Source organism: Homo sapiens, chromosome 20 (genome assembly GCF_000001405.40).
Source record: "Homo sapiens chromosome 20, GRCh38.p14 Primary Assembly".
In the NCBI taxonomy this organism is placed as follows: Eukaryota; Metazoa; Chordata; class Mammalia; order Primates; family Hominidae; genus Homo; species Homo sapiens.
The window spans coordinates 53,714,707-53,735,361 of NC_000020.11; the positions used below are offsets into that span (position 1 = coordinate 53,714,707).

General features: G+C 44.9%; 7 annotated features.

Moving 5' to 3' along the window:
* Nucleotides 830-1,030: a silencer, noted in NCBI's record as "peak4270 fragment used in MPRA reporter construct". NCBI's record gives its function as "represses an SCP1 promoter by STARR-seq MPRAs in K562 erythroleukemia cells {active_cell/tissue: K562}" and the evidence as "EXISTENCE:reporter gene assay evidence [ECO:0000049][PMID:32103011]".
* Nucleotides 9,634-10,633: an enhancer, noted in NCBI's record as "H3K27ac-H3K4me1 hESC enhancer chr20:52340879-52341878 (GRCh37/hg19 assembly coordinates)". NCBI's record gives its function as "activates a minimal SCP1, AML or CMV promoter by ChIP-STARR-seq in primed H9 embryonic stem cells {active_cell/tissue: H9 hESC(primed)}" and the evidence as "EXISTENCE:reporter gene assay evidence [ECO:0000049][PMID:30033119]".
* Nucleotides 10,634-11,631: an enhancer, noted in NCBI's record as "H3K27ac-H3K4me1 hESC enhancer chr20:52341879-52342876 (GRCh37/hg19 assembly coordinates)". NCBI's record gives its function as "activates a minimal SCP1, AML or CMV promoter by ChIP-STARR-seq in primed H9 embryonic stem cells {active_cell/tissue: H9 hESC(primed)}" and the evidence as "EXISTENCE:reporter gene assay evidence [ECO:0000049][PMID:30033119]".
* Nucleotides 13,846-14,346: an enhancer, noted in NCBI's record as "H3K27ac hESC enhancer chr20:52345091-52345591 (GRCh37/hg19 assembly coordinates)". NCBI's record gives its function as "activates a minimal SCP1, AML or CMV promoter by ChIP-STARR-seq in primed H9 embryonic stem cells {active_cell/tissue: H9 hESC(primed)}" and the evidence as "EXISTENCE:reporter gene assay evidence [ECO:0000049][PMID:30033119]".
* Nucleotides 14,747-14,796: an enhancer, noted in NCBI's record as "active region_18132". NCBI's record gives its function as "activates an Ori minimal core promoter by ATAC-STARR-seq in GM12878 lymphoblastoid cells {active_cell/tissue: GM12878}" and the evidence as "EXISTENCE:reporter gene assay evidence [ECO:0000049][PMID:35858748]".
* Nucleotides 15,077-15,176: an enhancer, noted in NCBI's record as "active region_18133". NCBI's record gives its function as "activates an Ori minimal core promoter by ATAC-STARR-seq in GM12878 lymphoblastoid cells {active_cell/tissue: GM12878}" and the evidence as "EXISTENCE:reporter gene assay evidence [ECO:0000049][PMID:35858748]".
* Nucleotides 19,410-19,610: a silencer, noted in NCBI's record as "peak4271 fragment used in MPRA reporter construct". NCBI's record gives its function as "represses an SCP1 promoter by STARR-seq MPRAs in K562 erythroleukemia cells {active_cell/tissue: K562}" and the evidence as "EXISTENCE:reporter gene assay evidence [ECO:0000049][PMID:32103011]".

Sequence of the window (20,655 nt, forward strand, 5' to 3'; positions counted from 1 at the left end):
TCCCGACTGCACCGTTGCCTAGCTGTGTGACCTGGGACAAGTGACTTAACTTCACTGTGCCTCAGTTTCTTCATCTGTAAAATGGGTACCATGATCATCCCTGCCTCTTAGGGTTGTTTTGAAGGTTAAACAAATGAGTGAATATATAAAATGCTCAGAACAGTGTCTGGCACATAAGAAGTGCTTGATAATGTTGACAATTCCTTTTATTATTATTTTTGTAATCTTCAAGATTAAGAGTCTACTTCTTGTTGGTCGGGTGTGCTGGCTCATGCTCATAATCCCAGCACTTTGGGAGGCCGAGGCGGGAGGATCACTTGAGGCCAGGAGTTTGAGACCAGCCTGGCCAACATGGGGAAACCCCGTCTCTACTAAAAATACAAAAATTAGCGGGGGCGTGGTGGCGTGCACCTGCAATCCCAGCTACTCAGGAGGCTGAGGCAGAGAATCACTTGAACCCAGGAGGCAGAGGTTGCAGTGAGCCGAGATCATGCCACTGTACTCCAGCCTGGGTGACAGAGTGAGACTCCATCTCAAAAAAAAAAAAAAAAAAAGAGTTTACTTGTTTCCTTTCCCATAAAGTATTAAACGCTCCATTGCTGCTACCGAAGCTCTCTACGCATGTCTGCTTCTCCTCACCTATGCAAATCTAGATCTATCATAGGTAGGTCTATCATACAGATCTTCCTCTCATCTAATCCTGAGCTCCTGCTAGACAAGGAGTATGTGGAAGGTTTTCAGGAAACACAGCCCCTTCTCTTGAGGGAGTTTATGGTGTGAAACAAAATTCAGGAAAACTGATCACCCAGGTAGATCCCAGTCTGGCCCCAAGACATTTTGTTTGGCCTTCATGGCCAAGGTCGGCTCCAGGATATGCAACCTGGGCAGCTGCACAGGGCCCTGATCTCAGAAGGCCCCATGCTTGGTTTAATGCTTCAATACTGATGTCTTAAAACCCTTCACAAATTTGAACCAGGGGCACCAGAGTTTCCATTTACGGTGGGCCCTACACGTAATAAAGCTCTTCATAAGTCTGGCTTGCACCATTAATTATTCTTTTTTTTTTTTTTTTTTTGAGATGGAGTCTCACTCTATCGCCCAAGCTGGAGTGCAGTGGTGCGATGTCAGCTCACTGCAACCTCTGCTGCCTGGGTTCAAGCGATTCTCCTGCCTCAGCCTCCCGAGTAGCTGGGATTACAGGCACCTGCCACCATGCCCAGCTAAGTTTTGTATTTTTTAGTAGAGATGGGGTTTCACCATGTTGGCCAGGCTGGTCTTGAATTCCTGACCTCGTGATCCACCTGCCTCAGCCTCCCAAAGTGCTGGGATTACAGGCGTGAGCCACCGCGACTGGCCTAATTATTCTTTTTTAAAAATTATTTAATTACACTTAAAAAGTAGGATGCTGGGGATGATGGCTCATGCCTGTAATCCCAGCACTTTGGGAGACCGAGTCGGGTGGATTACTTGAGGTCAGGAGTTCGAGACCATCCTGGCCAACATGACGAAACCCCATCTCTACTAAAAATAAAAAAAATTAGCCAGGCGTGGTGGTGTGTGCCTGTAATCCTAGCTACTAGGGAGGCTGAGGCACGAGAATAGTTTGAACGCAGGAAGGGAAGGCTGCAGTGAGCTGAGATCGCGCCACTGAACTCCAGTCTGGATAACAGAGCAAGACTCTGACTCAAAAAAAAAAAAAAGGGAAAAAATCAAAGTATTTTCTTTCCCTCTGAGTCTTCCTGTTGGCTGAGAATGGCGCCAGTGATAAAACAGTAGTTTGTCTCTGACTTAAGGAGGCAAGGAGATGTGAAGACTCAGCGCAGTGTGGTGTCTTGGGTGGGATTCTGGAATAGGAAGAGGACATTAATTGAAAAGCTGGTGAAATTGGAATAAAGTCTGAAGCTGAGTGAATAGTATTTCATCAATGTAAATTTCTTAGTTTTAGTAAATGACTTAGGATTACGTAAGATGTTAATAATTAGGGAAGTTGGGTGAATGGCCCGTGGGAACGCTGTAGGTCTGTAAAAATCAAATTATTTCAGACTAAAACTACCAAAGGAACTACAAAGAAGATAGAAGAGTTTACGATGTTTCCCATTCTTCCTCAATGCTTTAATATTATAATAATTAATAATACATACAATAATAATCATACATTTTATTTTGGGAGGTATTATTTAAACTTTTTTTTTTTTTTGAGACTCACTCTGTTGCCCAGGCTGGAGAGTAGTGGTGCGATCTTGGCTCACTGCAACCTCCGCCTCCCGGGTTCAAGTGATTCTCCTGCCTCAGCGTCCCGAGTAGCTGGGACTACAGGCATGTGCCACCACACCCAGCTAATGTTTTGTATTTTTAGTAGAGACAGGGTTTCACCGTGTTAGCCAGGATGGTCTTGATTTCCTGACTTTGTGATCCGCTTGCCTTGGCCTCTCAAAGTGCTGGGATTACAGGCGTGAGCCACTGTGCCTGGCTATTTAAACTTTTATATATATATACATATATATATATATATATATATATATATATATATATATATGTATATATATGTATGTGTATAGATAACCATATATATAAGTTTTTTTAATGAATACATGCCATGATACCAAATTCATAGGTACAAAGGATTTTGAGTCTCCCTTCTGTTTTCAAGTCCCTTCCTGTTTTGAGTCTTCCCTCCTGTTTTCAAGTCCCTTCCCTGTGGAAAACTTATTATTTCAAGTTTCTCATATATATTTCCCGAGTTATTTTATGAATCTGGAAGCAACCTCTGTGGTATGTATTGTGTACATTTTCTTTTCTTTTCTTTTCTTTCTTTTTTTGAGATAGAGTCTTCCTCTGTCGCCAGGCTAGATGCAGTGGCACGATCTCGGCTCACTGTAACCTCTGCCTCCTGGGTTCAAGTGATCCTCCTGCCTCAGCCTCCCAAGTAGCTGAGAATACAGGCATGAGCCACCATGCCCGGCTAATTTTTGTATTTTTAGTAGAGATGGGGTTTCACCATGTTGGCCAGGCTGGTCTCGAACTCCTGGCCTCATGTCATGTTATCCTCTCACCTCGGCCTCCCGAAATGCTGGGATTACAGGCACGAGCCTCCATGCCCGGCTGTTGTTATTTCACAGTGATTTTGGCGTCACTGCGTACCTGCCAGCACCTCCTCACTCTTTGCCGTAACTGCTGCATAGTATTCCTTTTAATGAATTAATTTCTGTCACCGGTCTCCTATGAATGAGTATTTAAATAATTTCTGCTCCTGTGCTCTTACAATCAGTGCTGCAACAAATAAACTTGTACGGTATTTCATGTGTGTGGGAGTACTCCTGAGGGAATAAATATCTAGGAGTTACACACACATTTTGGAGAAAATAATGAAAAGCAAATCTCCACTGAATTTTCCCATTCAAGGCTTGAGAGGTGATAAAACACATTCTCGGAGGCCAGTGTCTTGTTTTGGAAACACCACGTTCAAGGAGGCACCCGTCTGCAGCCCCACAGAGGCATGAGGGCCTGCTTCAGATCACTAATCTGGCATTAATACCCTCCTGAAAGGGGGGCGGAGGACAATAGCACCCAGAGAGTTTACACACTTGAGAAATGACTGGAAAGTAATTGGAGCTGGTAGCCATCTGCCTGGCTCTTTCTTTAGAGAGCCAGCACGTCTATCCACTGCAGGCACCAGAAGAGCCTCATGTGGGCTTCAGTCTCCGTCAGAGCTCACCCATCATTCTGGGGGCCCGAGCAGGAGCTGGTTTTCCCTGAAGCTCTCACATTCATCTCCAGGCTGAACTGGCTTTGAAGAAAGATGCCACCTTACCCATCTCCTCTGTCTGCCAATGAGAAAAGAGGACTTTTTTTTTTCTGGCCTTTCAGCATTTCACAATATTCTTCAAAATCGTTTCTTCTTTTCTTGGTAAACAATGATCGCTACTTGTGAAATCCAGTTTTTCATTTCACTTGGAAAGAAAGACTATTTCATTAGCTCATGAGCTTTTTTTTTTTGAGACAGGGTCTCACTCTGTTGCCCAGGCTGCAGTGCATTGGCGTGATCACAGCTCATTGCAGCCTCAACCTCCCAGGCTCAAGTGATCCTCCCACTTCAGCCTCCCTAGTAGCTGGGACTATAGGCACACACCACAACACTTGGCTCATTTTTTATTTTTTGTGGAAATGGGGTCTCACTATGTCGCCCAGGCTGGTCGCCAATTCCTGGATGCAAGCGATCCTCCTGCCTTGGCCTCCGAAAGCTCTGGGATTATAGGCATGAGCCACCATGCCCAACCTTATGAGCTTTTTCTATCTGTCCCAGCTAGGGGTAATTGTCTGAGCTGCTCACAAACCTGCAAAGCTCAGAGTGGGGACTGCTCTTGAAAGCTATGATGATGATTAATAATAATAATAAAATTATACTAGCTACCATTTGTTGAGAAATTATTGTTTTACAGGTTGCTATGGACTGAATCGTGTCCCCTCCCAATTCATATGTTGAAGCCCTAACCTCAAATGTGACTGTATTTGGAGTGAGAAAGTAATTACGGTTAAATATAGTCATAAGAGTGGAGCCTTTATCTGATGGGATTAGTGTCCTTATAAGAAGAGACACCAGGCCTGGTGAGGTGGCTCACGCCTCTAATCCCAGCACTTTAGGAGGCTGAGGCGGGTGGATCACCTGAGGTCAGGAGTTCGAGATCAGCCTGACCAACATGGGGAAACCCCATCTCTACTAAAAATACAAAATTAGCCAGGCGTGGTGGCACAAACCTGTAATCCCAGCTATTCGGGAGGCTGAAGCAGGAGAATCGCTTCAACCTGGGAGGTGGAGGTTGCAGTGAGCTGAGATTGGGCCATTGCACTCTAGCCTGGGTGACAACAGTGAAACTCCATCTAAAGAAAAATCCCAAAACCTCAAATTTGTCAAGAAACACAATTTTGGAGCTGGCAGGTTGCGTGAACTATAAACTGTATATAATATAGCCATATGACAATGCCAGCAAGTTGATAAACAGAAATTTTTTGAACTATGAAAGTTATTTGGTTGCAAATCCTTTGCAAAAAATGTGTCTGCTCTGTATAGAGTATTGAATGAAAGTATAGCATGTAGATTTTTACAAGCCTACAGGTACATAAATACTTTTGATTTTTCTCAATCTGTAGAGATTTGCTATAAGATAGTCTTTGGGCTAGGCGCGGTGGCTCACGCCTGTAATCCCAACACTTTGGGAGGCTGAGGCAAGCAGATCTCCTGAGGTCGGGAGTTCGAGAACAGCCTGACTAACATGGAGAAACCCTGCCTCTACTAAAAATACAAAATTAGCTGGGTGTGGTGGCGCTTGTCTGTAATCCAGCTACTTGGGAGGCTGAGGCAGGAGAATCGCTTGAACCCAGGAGGCAGATACTGCGGTGAGCCGAGATGGCGCCATTGCCCTCCAGCCTGGGCAATAAGAGCGAAACTCCATCTCAAAAAAAAAAAAAAAAAAAAGATATTCTTCGGCTGGGCATGGTGGCTCATGCCTGTAATCCCCGCGCTTTGGGAGGCTGAGGTGGGCAGATCACAAGGTCAAGAGATTGAGACCACTCTGGCCAACATGGTGAAACCCTGTCTCTACTAAAAATATAAAAATTAGCTAGGCATGGTGGTGCACACCTGTAGTCCCAGCTACTTGGGAGGCTGAGGCAGGAGAATCACTTGAACCCAGGAGGCGGAGGTTGCAGTGAGGCGATATTGCACCACTGCACTCCAGCCTGGTGACAGAGTGAGATTCAAAAAAAAAAAAAAAAGATATTCTTCAATCAACACTCTGTATACTTCTGTATAATTCTTCACAGAAATTATTCCTCAGATAACCTGCACTTACCATCAAACTTGTAATTATCCCCACACATACAAAGTTGCCTTTGAATGTGATGTTTCTATAGAGTACAAAGCTGAATTATTTTATTTTATTTATTTATTTTGAGATGGAGTTTCGCTCTTGTTGCCCAGGCTGGAGTGCAATAGTGTGATCTCGGCTCATCAAAACCTCTTCCTCCCAGGTTCAAGTGATTCTCCTGCCTCAGCCTCCCGAGTAGCTGGGATTACAGGCATGCGCCACCACGCCCGGCTAATTTTGTATTTTTAGTAGAGACAGGGTTTCTCCATGTTGATGAGGCTGGTCTCAAACTCCCAACCTCAGGTGATCTGCCTGCCTCGGCCTCCCAAAGTGCTGGGATTACAGGAGTGAGCCACCACACCTGGCCAAAGCTGAATAATTTTAGATTGTTCCTGTGTGTGAGTCTTCTGGAATGTCTCTGGGCATCTGGAGTCAAAAAGTGTGTTTATTCTTTAGTGAAAATGATTGCCATTGTTGTGAGAGATATTGAAAAATGACATCAAATTGCTCAGACCTTGCAGCAAATCACAGTGGAAACGCCTATTAAATCTCATATGCTCTTTGAATGGTCTTTGTTAATTGGAGCCACAGCACGAATGACAAAGAGACACTAAAATTATGACGGAGGATTGCTTCCTGTCTTACCTACTATATTTGGGTCTATTCTCATTTCAGTGAATGAGTCACAGTGAGGTACAATTTGTTTTTCCAAAGACAAAAAGAAATAGAATAAAAGAGGAGTTGGCAACATTTTTTGGTAAATGGTGAGATATTAACTATTAAAAAAAAACATATTTTAGGCTTTGGAGGCCAGATGGCCTCTGTAGTAACTTTTTTTTTTTTTCTTTTTGAGACAGGGTGTTGCTCTGACGCTCAGGCTGGAGTGCAATGGTGTGATCTTGGCTCACTGTAACCTCCGCCTACCGGGTTCAAATGATTCTTGTGCCTCAGCCCATAGCTGGGATTACAGTCCTGCACCACCACACCTGACTAATTTTTGTATTTTTAGTAGAGACGGGATTTCGCCATGTTGGCCAGGCTGGTCTTGAACTCCTGGCTTCATGTGATCCTCTTGCCTCTGCCTTCTAAAGTACTGAGATTACAGGCGTGAGCCACTGCGCCCACCTGGCCTCTCTGTAGCAACTACTAAACTCTGCCTTGCCCTGTGAAAGCAGCCATACACAATATGTAAATGAATGAGCATGGCTGTTTTCCAATAAAACTTTATTTCTCAAAACAGGCAGTAGGCTTAGTTTGCCAACCCCTGGAATAAGGCATAAATATTTAAAGATATAGATATGAATTGGCTGGGCACAGTGGCTCATGCCTGTAATCCTGGCACTTTAGGAGGCCAAGGTGGGCAGATCACCTGAGGTCAGAGTTCCAGACCAGCCTGGTCAACATGGTGAAACCCTGTCTCTACTAAAAATATAAACATTAGCTGGGCATGGTGGTACGCACCTGTAATCCCATTTACTCAGGAGGTTGAGGCAGGAGAATTGCTTGAACCAGGAGTTGGAAGTTGCAGTGAGCTGAAATCATGCCACTGTACTCCAGCCTGGGCGACAGTGATACTCTGTCTCAAAAAAAAAAAAAAAAAAAAAGATATGAAGTGATAGACATAAACAGATAACTTGAAGTGTGGCAGAGAATGTTACCTGCCAACCCACCATCCCTATTCTTTGTGAACAGAGCCACCATACTGTTGGGGTCAGCAATGTCCTCAGTTAAATATATCTATATCCTAGTCTCACTTGCCAATAGGGGTGACTTCTGAAGTGAAAGCAGATACAGATGAGACATGTGGGAATGCTCTGTAAAAAGGCCTTATCTTCCTTTTTTTTTTTTTTTTTTTTTTGAGACAGGGTCTCACTGTATCGCCCAGGCTGGAGTGTAGTGATGGTGCAATATCAATTGGCTCACTGCAACCTCCACCTCCCAGGCTCAAGTGATTCTCATGCCTCAGCCTCCTCAGTAGCTGAGATAACAGTTGTGTGCCACCACACCCAGCTAATTTTTTATATTTTTAGTAGAGACGGGGTTTCACCATTTTGGCCAGGCTGGTCTTGAACTCCTGGCCTCAAGCTGATCTGCCCGCCTCAGCCTCCCAAACTGCTGGGATTACAGGTGTGAGACACCATGCCCGGCCTAGGCTTTATCTCTTGGGCAGGTGCCATTTTGCCTTCTACTTTTCTTTTTTTTATCTGCCTGGAATATGGGAATGATTGGTGGAGCTTAAGTGGCAATTTTGTGACTAAGAGGGCAAGTCCGAGAAAATATTGGAAATCTCATCCTTTGCATCCTCGAACCAATGAATCAAACCAGCAGGAGCTGACCTCTGGACTTCTTGTTATATGAAGGAAACAACCTTTCTATGCTTAAGCCACTGTTTCATTTGGATCTGTATTTACTGCTGAATCAAAATTCCAATACTTTTAATAGAAATAACAAACATATAGTCCAGCTTACAAGTAGTAGAAGTAATAGTAATTTAAGGCTATGTGAACAATAGAGAGGTAGTATTTCGGATTGAAGACTTCAAATCCATCAGTTGGATCTGGGTGTCAAATCCTGCCCTCACCACTAACTTGGTGGTGTTTTGTTTTGTTTTGTTTTGTTTTGTTTTGTTTTGTTTTGTTTGAGATAGGATCTCACACTCTGTTGTCAGTGCTGGAGTGCAGTGGTATGATCTCGGTTTACTGCAACCTCCACATCCTGGGCTCAAGTGATCCTCCCACCTCAGTCTCCTGAGTAGCTGGGACTGGTGGCACACACCATCACGCCCTGCTGATTTTTATATCTTTTATAGAGATGGGTTTTTGTCATGTTGCTCAGGTGGGTTTTGAACTCCTGGGCTCAAGCAATCTGCCCACCTTGGCCTCCCAAAGTGTTGGGATTACAGGCGTGAGCCACCGCGCCCCCCACCCCCACCACTTACTCTCTCTATTCCTCAGTTTCCTCCCTGGAAAAATAGAGATCATAATATTATATGATTTATGGTATTGTTGAAAGACTTAATTATGATAATGCATACATAAAGTACTTGGCACATAAGAAGTGCTCAAAAAAAGAGAATATTATTGTTGCTGCTACTATTATCATTTTGTTGACCAGAGATGAATGACTATTCACTTCTCTGAAACAAGGGTGCAGGTGAAAACAGCGATGACATTTCTTCCCCACTCCTCACTCTTCAGGCCTCTCCATCATCTAGAACAATACGTGGAAATCCACTCACGACCTCCGTGTTTTTAATAAGTATGACGTGTCGGGCTGAGTGCTTGGTTCCGGGAGTTCTGGGTGATGGAGACAGTTCCTGTATTCAGTGTTATCAGGGCAGAGTGAGCAGAGGTAGCCTGGAGGACAATCAAGAATAAAAAAGTGTTGGGTGGAGAACAGAAATATGAATGGGGTACAATGGGGAGAAACCAAGAAGAGGTTCAGTTCTATTATTGGGTGGGAAAGCGGTCTAAAAATATTTTATAGAGGAACTGGTATCTAAAATTTGAGTATTGAAGAAGGTGGTGTTGGCTATTATCTACTATTACTAGGAAGAATTTTTTTTTGAGACAGAGTCTCACTCTGTCACCCAGGCTGGAGGTCAGTGGCATTATCTCGGCTCACTGCAACCTCTGCTCCCGGACTCAAACCATCCCACCCCAGCCTTTCCAGTAGCTGGGACTACAGACACGCACCACCACGCCTGGCAAATTTATGTATTTTTTTGGAGACAGGGTTTTGTCATGTTTGGCCAGGTTGGTCTCGAGCTCCTAGACTCAAGGGATCTGCCCACCTCAGTCTCCCAAAGTGCTGGAATTACAGCTGTGAGCCGATGTGCCTGGCCAGGAAGAATTTAAAATCAGTGATGGCATGTAAATATTTTTCTTGTTCTTTTTTTTTTTTTTTTTGAGATAGAGTTTTTGCTCTTCATACCCAGGCTGGAGTGCAATGGCACAATCTTGGCCCACTTCAACCTCTGTCTCCTGGGTTCAAGCGATTCTAAAATATTTGAGGTGCCCGCCACCATGCCTGGCTAATTTTTTGTATTTAGTAGAGACAGAGGTTCACCATGTTGGCCAGGCTGGTCTCGAACTCCTGACCTCAGGTTATCCAACTGCCTCAGCCTCCCAAAGTGCTGGGATTACAAGCATGAGCCACTGTGCCGGCCATATTTTTTTTTTTCTTTCTTTTCTTTTCTATTTTATTTTATTTTATTTTATTTTGAGACAGAGCCTCACTCTGTTGCCCAGGCTGGAGTGCAGTGGCAGATCTCGGCTCACTGCAAGCTTCGCCTCCCGGGTTCAAGTGATTCTCCTGCCTCAGCCTCCCGAGTAGCTGGGATTACAGGCGCCCACAACCACGCCCGGTGTATTTTTATTAGAGACGAGGTTTCACCATATTGGCCAGGCTGGTCTCGAACTCCTCCTGATCTCAAGTGATCCGCCCGCCTTACCCTCCCAAAGTGCTGGGATTACAGGCATGAGCCACCGCGCCCGGCCCGGCCATATTTTTCATCTCCTCTTCCGGATCTCCTCTCCGACCCTGCCCTCCGGCCTCCGTGGTGGCCTTCCCTGGACGGTATTCACACGTTCCCCTACTCTATAGTTTCCAGTTGGGTTTAGCCAACGGGAGACACCTGGAGGAGATGGAGGGAGGAGAAAGGGAGGTTGGAGCATGTATTTCCCTGGCGCCCTCTCTGCTAGGTTGCCCCAGGTTGGCTGCATCTCTCTCCTGAAGGTCACAGTCCTGGTCAGGTCGCTTTCTCTACAGCTGTGTTCTTCAGATTCTGGGAACCACACCTACCTTTGCCTTTCTGGCCTGGGGGCAAGAATGGCTCTCTGCTGCTGCGATTAGCCTCAGGGCGTTCACTACTTCTTGCTCCTCTCTCTCTCTCTCTTTTTTTTTTTTTGAGACAGAGTTTCGCTCTTGTTGCCCAGGCTGGAGTGCAATGGCGCAATCTCGGCTCACCACAACCTCCGCCTCCTGGGTTCAAGCGATTCCCCTGCCTCAGCCTCCGGAGTACCTGGGATTACAAGCATGTGCCACCACGCCAGGCTAATTTTGCATTTTTGGTAGAGACGGGGTTTCTCCATGTTCGTCAGGCTGGTCTCGAAGTCCCAACCTCAGGTGATCCGCCCACCTTGGCCTCCCAAAGTGCTGGGATTGCAGGCGTGAGCCACCGCGCCCTGCCTAATGCTAACTCTATTTTAAGGGGGCATCTGTTTCCTGCTGGGATCCTCACTGGCAAACTCAAATGCCCACCAGGGCAGGATACGGGTAAAGTGGTCGAAGTGTAATGCAATAGGGAGGGGTGGTGACTGGTGAACTGGAGAGCCCTGAAATGGGCACCTGCTACTATAGGCTCCAGCTGCTGGTGCCCTTTGAGAGTATGATTCTAGCATTAATTTTTCCTTTTTTTTTTTTTGAGATGGAGTCTCGCTCTGTCACCCTGGCTAGAGTGCAGTGGTGTGATCTCGGCTCACTGCAACCTCCGCCTCTTGGGTTCAAGTGAGTCTCCTCTACCATTAACTTTTCTAATTAAAAAAATTTTTAAACTTTTTCTAATTTTTTCTATGTAAGCTGAAAGTATACATTTTATTAGAAGAACTTTCCACATTTATAAAAACATTCTCTGGGCCAAAGAGCATGTGCTTGAATTTGACCTGTGGCTGACACTGCTATAAGGGCAACAGCCCTGGTAGTCAGAGAATGAGTTAAACTATGATAATATTAAGTATTGTCACCTTGTGCAGACACAGCATGCATTATTTCATTTAATCGTTAGGACAATATCAACTTGAGGGAGGTTATATTGCTATTATATAGATGAGATCCCTATTATATAGTTAAGAAAACTTTTTTTTTTTTTGAGATGGAGTTTCCCTCTGTTGCCCAGGCTGGAATACAGTGGTGCAATCTCGGCTCACTGCAACCTTTGCCTCCTGGGTTCAAGTGATTCTCCTGCCTCAGCCTCCCGAGTAGCTGGAATTCCAGGCACCCCCCTGCCACACCCAGGTAATTTTTGACTGGGTTTCACCATGTTGGCCAGGCTGGTCTCGAACTCCTGACCTCAAGTGATCCCCCGCCTTGGCCTCCCAAAGTGCTGGGATTACAGGTGTGCGCCACCACGCAAGGTGAGAAAACTCTTTAAACAGTTTCAAGGAGGTTAAATGCTTCAACTAAGGTTGCCTCTGGATAAGAATCCCCAGTAGGATTCTGGAGCCTGGGAACTTCAGCTGAGACTCTCTGCTACCTTCTTGGCTGAGTTCTTGAGTGGGGCACTGGGCTTCGGACTGTGATCATCTCCCTGCCTGCTGCACAGACAAAATCAATCCACTCAGACCATGGCACGACAATAAAGAAAGAGTTTAATTAATCCAAGTCCAGCTATGCCATGCGGGAGATGGAGTTACTACTCAAATCAGTCTCCCTGAAGGCTTGGAGCTTAGGGTTTTTCTGGACAATTTGATGGGCAGGGGGCTAGGGAATAACTGCTGCTGATTCGTTGGGGAAGCAATCATAGGGGTGTGCAGAACTTGCTGTTGGGTGGAGCCATAGGACCAGTTGAGCCATGAGTCACGAGTCCTCTTGGGTTCAATCTGAACAAAAATCTAAAAAAAAAAAAAAAAAAAAAAAACACTGGGTGCGGTGGCTTATGCCTGTAATCCCAACACTTTGGGAGGCTGAAGCAGGTGGATCAGTTGAGGTCAGGAGTTGGAGACCAGCCTGGCCAACATGATGAATCCTTGTCTCTACTAAAAACACAAAAATTAGCCAGGCGTGGTGGTGGGTGCCTGTAATCCCAGCTACTTGGGATGCTGAGGCACGAGAATTGCTTGACCCTGGGAGGCGGAGGTTGCAGTGAGTTGAGATTGCGCCATTGCACTCCAGCCTGGGGGACAGAGACTCTGTCTCACAAAACAAAACAAAACAAAACAAAACAAAACAAAACAAAACAAAACAAGTGCAGTTTTGTTGCATGGATATATTGCATAATGGTGAAGTCTGGACTTGTGGTGTAGCCATAACCTGAATAATGTACATTAAACTTATTAATTTTTTTAATAATTTTTTTTAGAGACAGGGTCTTGCCATGTTGCCCAGGCTGGTCTCCAACTCCTAGGATCAAGTGATCCTCCCACCTCAGCCTCCCAAGGTGCTGGAATTACAGGCGCGAGCACCATGCCTGAACACATTAAACTCATTAAATAATTTATCATCTCTCATCGCCCCCACTCCCCTCACCCATCTGAGCCCCCAGTCTATTATGCCACACTCTGTGTCCATATTTATTTATTTATTTAGAGGCAGAATCTAGTTATGTTGCCCAGGCTGGACTCAGACTCTTGGACTCAAGCCATCCTCCTGCCTCAGCCTCCTGAGTAGCTGGGACTACAGACGTGAGCCACCTCACGCAGCATAAGAAAACCCCAATTTTGTTTCAAGTGAGAAAATATTCAGACCCAAAGAATTAGGATTGGTCTAAGTATGAGGTGACAAGCATGGAGAAGAAAAGTCAACCTGTGAACAAGGGTAGAGCAGAGAAGGAGATCAGGTCTATACCACATGGTTCCTTCAGTCTTCTTGCCGTGTGAGGTAATGAAAGGTGTTTCTTGCTTAAGCTATTGTTAGTCGGATAAGCAGTGAATTCCTGCTGCAAGGATTCCTAACTGCAACATATGCAATGGAGTTATATTAGATAAGGAGAAAAAAAATAATAGGAGAAGACAGAGGGCAGATAGAAGAAAGTAATTAAAACCAGCAGTCAGGCATTTTGGAATTCAGACCTCATTATTTTCATTTTCCAGATGAGAAAACTAAGGTTCCAGAGAAATGAACATAACTTGTTCAACATCTTAAAACTAGTCACCAGCAGACCTGGAATTCAAACCCAGATCTATTGGATACCAAAGACTGGTTTGAACAACTATATGTAATGCTTTGTATTGGGGTGTGTGTGTGTGTGTGTGTGTATGTGTGTGTAAGGGAGAGAGTGAGAGCTAGAGAGAGAGAGAGAGGGAGAACTAATGGTCACTGTTTGCTATGTGTCTGGTTATGTGCTTTACACTTTTGGCATATTGCTTTTCATTCTTAAATACAGCTTCAAATTTAGTTGTCATCTTCCTCATAATTTTATAAGAAAACGGAAATTCAAAAAGTTGAGTGACTTTAATAATTGAATATTGCCCAAAAGAAAAAAGGAAATTCTCTATGCCACCTGAGGTAGATCTAAAGAATTTTTCCCATCTCTATGTGCAGTGTATCTTTGTAGACCCTCCCATGAAGAAGTGGGGTCACTTTTTTTTTTTTTTTGAGACAGTGTCTCGCTCTGTCACCCAGGTTGGAGTGCAGTGGCACGATCTCGGCTCACTGCAAGCTCTGCCTCCCAGGTTCATGCCATTCTCCTGCCTCAGCCTCCTGAGTAGCTGGGACTACAGGCACCCACCACCACGCCCAGCTAATTTTTTGTATTTTTAGTAGAGACGGGGTTTCTCCATGTTGGCCAGGCTGGTCTTGAACTCCCGACCTCAGGTGATCTGCCCGCCTCAGCCTCCCAAAGTGCTGGGATTACAGCCATGAGCCACTGCGCCCAGCCAGAGTCACTTTTTTACCCTTTGAATCTGGGCTGAGCCATGTGATTTGTTTTGGCCAATATGTCATTAGCAAATGTTGGGGGAAACAGAGGCTTCCAAAGTACTTGTAAGCAGTACTTTGCTCTTTGGGAATTTTTACTGTCAAAGTAAGCTCTGCCGGGCGTGGTGGCTCACGCCTGTAATCCCAGCACTTTGGGAGGCCGAGGTGGGTGGATCACTCGAGGTCAGGAGTTCAAGACCGGCCTGGCCAACATGGTGAAACCCCATCTCTACCAAAAATACAAAAATTAGCTGGGCATGGTGGCAGGTGCCTGTAATCCCAACTACTTGGGAGAATGAGGCAGGAGAATCCCTTGAGCCCAGGAAGCGGAGGTTGCAGTGAGCTGAGATTGCATCACTGCACTCCAGCATAAGTGACAAAGTGAGACCCTGTCTCAAAAAAAAAGTACTTGTACCTTGGGGTTTGCCTTCTTACTTCTCCTGGGAACCCTATAACTTCATGTGAAGGAGCTAGCCTGTTGGATGATGACGTCCAGACATGTGACCCAGTTGCTCTTGTTACCCAGGTGATGGCCCCCAACCTCCACACATAGACAGGAAGCCGTCTTAGGATCATCTAGCCACCAGCTGACCACAGACACCTGGGAATACCCAGCAGTGATCATATGAGCTGGCCCAGAAAGGAAGAACCTCTCAGCCCACCTATAAAGTCACGAGCTAAACAAATGGTTGTTTTTAGCCACTAAATGTTGGAGTGGTTTGTTATGTGGCATAACTAATGGATACACTGACTTTCACTATATCAGACAAATATTGCAAATAATTGAGTGAAATGGATAGATATTGAGAATGTTTAATGTAAAGGTTTAAGTTAAATCTATCTTTTATGCAAAATACATGCCCATGTTCTGTTCCCTTTTTCTTTTTCTTTTTTTTTTTTTTGAGATAGAGTCTCGGTCTGCCAGGCTGGAGTGCGGTGGTGCGATCTCGGCTCACTGCAACCTCTGCCTCCCGGGCTCAAGCGATTTTCCTGCCTCAGCCTCCCAAGTAGCTGGGACTACAGGCACATGCCACCATGCCCGGCTAATTTTTGTATTTTTAGTAGACACAGGGTTTCACCATGTTGGTCAGGCTGGTCTCGAACTCCTGACCTCGTGATCCACCCGCCTCAGCCTCCCAAAGTGCTGGGATTATAGGCGTGAGCCACCACACCCGGCCAAACATAACTCTTCTTATAGTTATAATGATTCCGTGAAATAGGTCCTACTACCTCCCTCTTTTTTGTTGTAGTTGATTTTTAATTTTTAAGAGATGAGGTCTCACCATGTTGCCCAGGCTGGACTTGAACTCCCAGGCTCAAGCAATCCTCCCACCTAAACCTCAGGTGATCTGCCTGCCTCGGCCTCCCAAAATGCTGGGATTGCAGGCGTGAGCTACCTCGCCCAGCCTGTTCCCTTTTTCATTAGTGATAAGATCCTTGGCCATTAAAAGTTGTCAGTGAAGAAATATAGTGTCCCAGTGACGAGGAGTATGAAAAATACATTCTATTTTCACATCTTAAATGTCATTAAGATGTTGAAAGTGTTAAATATCAAATTCAAACTCAACTAGGTTTGACCAGCTTGTCCCAGTTTGTCTGGGATTTTTACATTTTAGTACTGAAAGTCCTGTGTCCAAGGAAACCCCTCAGTCCAGGAAAAACTGGGACAGTTGCTCACTGCTATGTTTTGTTTTGTTTTGTTTAAATCAGCCTACATCATGCTTTGATCTGCTGCAGTTTGAACACATTCCCTTTAAAATTTATATGTAGGAGGCCGGGCGCAGTGGCTCATGCCTGTAATCCCAGCACTTTGGGAGGCCAAGGTGGGTGGATCATGAGGTCAGGAGTTTTAGACCAGCGTGGCCAAGATAGTGAAACCCCGTCTCTATTAAAAATACAAAAATTAGCCAGGCATGGTGGCAGGCGCCTTTAACCCCAGCTACTTGGGAGGCTGAGGCAGGAGAATCGCTTGAACCCAGGAGATGAATGTTGCAGTGAGCCGAGATCACGCCACTGCACTCTAGCCTGGGCGACAGAGCGAGACTCCATCTAAAAAAAAATATGTGTGTGTGTGTGTGTGTGTGTGCGCGTATATATGTATATATGTGTGTATATATGTATATATATGTATATATGTGTGTTCATATATGTGTGTGTGTGTATATATATATAATATGTAGGAACTTAATCCCTAAATGATAGTATTAAGAGCTGGGGCCCTTGGGAGGTGATTAGGCCGTGAGGACTCTGCCCTTGTGGATGGAATTAGTGCCCTTATAGAAGGGCTTGAGGAGGAGAGTTTTTCTCTCCTACTCTTCTGCCATGTGAGGACCCTGTGTTCATTCCATTTAGGGGACGCAACAGCAATGCTCCATTTTGGAAGCACAGGAAGTCCTTACTAGACAATCAGTCTGCTGGTGCCTTGATCTTGGACATCCCAGCCTCCAGAACTGTGAAAAATACATTTCAATTATTTATAAATTACCTGGTCTGTGGCATTTTATCGTAGAGCAGGAATGGACTGACAAAGGCACCTGAAGCTCAACTTTAGTGTTAGTTCCAGCAGGGAGGAATCTTGCAAATTCTTATTGATATATGACAATAGATATTTAGAAGCTAAGAAGCTGAGTATTTTCTCACACGTTTAGGTGTAAGTTACAAATTAGTCCTGCTTTTGATACACAGCTACTTCATGAGTTTGCCCTAACTGCTCCCAGATAAGTCATATTCCTTTGAGAAGTCCCAATTGGCAAAAGTTCTTTTTTTTAAATGCCTCTTGTAAAAATTATCAATTTTTTAAAAAATGCCTCTTGTAAAAACCATCGACACAATTTCTTTTTTTTTTTTTCAGACGGAGTTTCACGCTTGTCACCCAGACTGGAGTGTAGTGGTGTGATCTCGACTCACTGCAACCTCCCCCTTCCGGGTTCAAGCAATTCTCCTGCTTCAGCCTCCTGAGTAGCTGGGTTTACAGGCACCTGCCACCATGCCCAGCTAAGTTTTGTATTTTTAGTAGAGACGGGGTTTCACCATGTTGGCCAGGTTGGTCTTGAACTTTTGATCTAGGTGATCCACCCACCTTGCCCTCCCAAAGTGCTGGGATTACAGGTATGAGCCACCCCTCCTGGCCAAGATTCTTGAATGTGTGATTAGTATTTATGGAAACTGACCCTGTATATAATAATCTTCTGCCTTCCTTACCTGCAAGTCATGAATTATATTTATGAACTGAATGTAAGAAAAATCTATGTGTCATTTATTCATTCACTCATTCATTCATCTCTCTATCCAACAATATTATTAAGTGCCCAGTAGATGCTATGTACTGTGCTAAGAGATGAAGATAAATAAAATGGTGAGCAAAAATGGACACTGTTGACCGGGCTCCTTGGCTCACACCTATAATCCCAGCATTTTGGGAGGCCGAGGCAGGCGGATTGCCTGAGGTCAGGAGTTTGAGACCAGTCTGACCAACATGGAGAAACCCCGCCCTACTTGGTCATCAATCCTTGACATTCCTTGCAGCTAGTTCACTCCAATGTCTTCTTCTGTTGTCACATGGCTTTCTCCCTGTGGATCTGTGTCTTCTTATAAGGGCACCAGTCCCATTGGATTAGGAACCCATCCTATAGTATTGGTACACTCTACTGAAAATACAAAAGTTAGCCTCGCGTGGTGGCACATGCCTGTAATCCCAGCTACTTGGGAGGCTGAGGCAAGAGAATCGCTTGAACCTGGAAGGCGGAGGTTGCGGTGAGCCGAGATTGCGCCATTGCACTCCAGCCTGGGCAACAAGAGTGAAACTCCATCTCAAAAAAAAAAAAAAAATAGACACTGTTCTTGCCTTCCAGGAATTTTTAGTGTTGTGGAGTAGAAGACAGTCATCCAACAAGCAGATAAATGCAAAGCTACACCCATGACAAGACTAGCAAACAAGAAGTGGTGTTATAAAATTTTGTGGAATTAAAGGAATTTGACTTTGTTGGGGGGCAGAGTCATTTAAGAAAGGCGTCCCCTTCGGACAAGGGAGCCAAGATCTAGAGGTGAAATGAGAATAGAGGTTGGAGTGAGGAAGGGGAAAATATTCCAAGCAGGGGGAAATGTAAAACATTTGAGCAAAATCCTGTGGCAAGAGGCAACCTGGACCATTTGAAACAGGGCTGTGCGCATAGAATCAAAAAATAGGGCAAAGGGTGACAGAAGAGAAAGCCAGAGTGGGAGACATGGGCCTAGCTGAAGAGCATCTCAAAGCCTGTCATGAGTTGGAATGTGTCCCTCCAAAAAGATGAAGTAGAGCCCTATCTGCCAGTATTTCTGAGTAGGACCTTATTTGGAAACAGGGTCATTGCACATGTAATTAGTGAAGATGCGGTCATACCGTAGAGTGGGTTCCTAATCCAATGGGACTGGTGTTCTTATATGAAGACACAGATCACCAGGAGCGGTGGCTCACGCCTATAATCCCAGCACTTTGGGAGGCCGAGGCGGCAGATCACGAGGTCAGGAGATTGAGACCATCCTGGCTAACACGATGAAACCCCATTTCTACTAAAAATACAAAAAATTAGCCAGGCGTGGTGGCGGGCGCCTGTAATCCCATCTGCTCGGGAGGCTGAGGCAGGAGAATGGCGTGAACCTGGGAGGCGGAGCTTGCAGTGAGCCGACATCACGCCACTGCACTCCAGCCTGGGGGACAGATTGAGACTCCGCTTCAAAAAAAAAAAGAAGACACAGATCCACAGGGAGAAGGCCATGTAACAACAGAGGAATACATTAGAGTGAACCAGCTGCGAAGAATGTCAAGGATCGATTGCCAAGTAGGTCGAGGCAAGGAAAGAGTCTCCCCTCCAGAAGAAGGTGGCTCTCCCGACACCTTGATTCTGGACTTCTAGCCCCCAGAACTGTTAGGAAATAAATTTCTGTTGTTTTAAGTCACCCAGTTTGTTGTACTTGGCTATGACATCTGTAGGAAATTAACACAAAGGCCACAGTAGGATTTTGGTCTTTGTCCCAAGAGCAGCAAGGAAGCATGGCAAGAATTTAAACAAGGAAGGGAGAGCGGAGGATGTTGGTCTGGCTAAGGTGGGGATATGGAAGGGAAGGAAACAAGAGTGTGTGCAAGGCAGACCAGTTAAGAGGCTTGGGCGAGGGGGACTGCTTAGGAGGCTGCAGGGAGATGAGTTAGCAGTTGATGTGGTTGTCCGGGAGAGAGATGACAGAAGCTTGGAATAGGTGTTAAGGGTAAAGATGAAGCTGAATGAAAGGATTTTGGATCCCTATGGTGAGTGAGATACAGAGCCATGTCAACAATGACTTCAAGGCTTTGGGCTCACTCAACTGGATGGATGGGGGCGCCAATCACTGAGCAAGTGATCCTCAGGGAAGATCAGACTCCACTTAGCACAAGGTCTCTCAGCCAGCAGAATGAGTTTCAATGTTCTTAAAGCAAACACACCCCAAAGAAAATTTCCTTTTGAATTGTAATAAATACACTCTGCAATGCCTTCTGTTTTTACAGAATAATATTTCTGGGAGACCGGTACACATAAGCACTTGGAAGTTGATCTCTTTCTTATTAATAATTGCCTGATAATTCATTGTGTGGATATAAGATAATTTAACCAATCTATTTATGTATTTAGCTTGTTTCCAGATTTTAAATTATTTCATTGCAAGTTTTTAAAAATTTTCTAGCTTCATCCATTAAAAGAAATACTTTTACATTGTTAACTACTATATACACATACGACACACAAATACACACACACACAGCAAAAAGTTTCACAAAATAGTACTTATCCTACCTATATGTCATTCTATTCTATTCTATTCTAATTCCATTCCAACTAAAAGTAATAGCCATGACCCACTAAATTGATCTTACCACCTACTGACAGGTCACAACCTGCAGTTTGAAAAACACTTTCAATGCATATTTATTCAATGAAAAGGGACAAGTAGGCCAGGCGCAGTGGCTCATGCCTGTAATCCCAGCACTTTAGAAGGCCAAGGTGGGAGGATCACTTGAGGTCAGGAGTTTGAGACCAGCCTGGCTAACGTGGTGAAACGTCATCTCTACTAAAAATACAAAAATTAGCCGGGCGTGGTGGCAGGTACCTGTAATCCCAGTTACTCGGGAGGCAGAGGCAGGAGAATC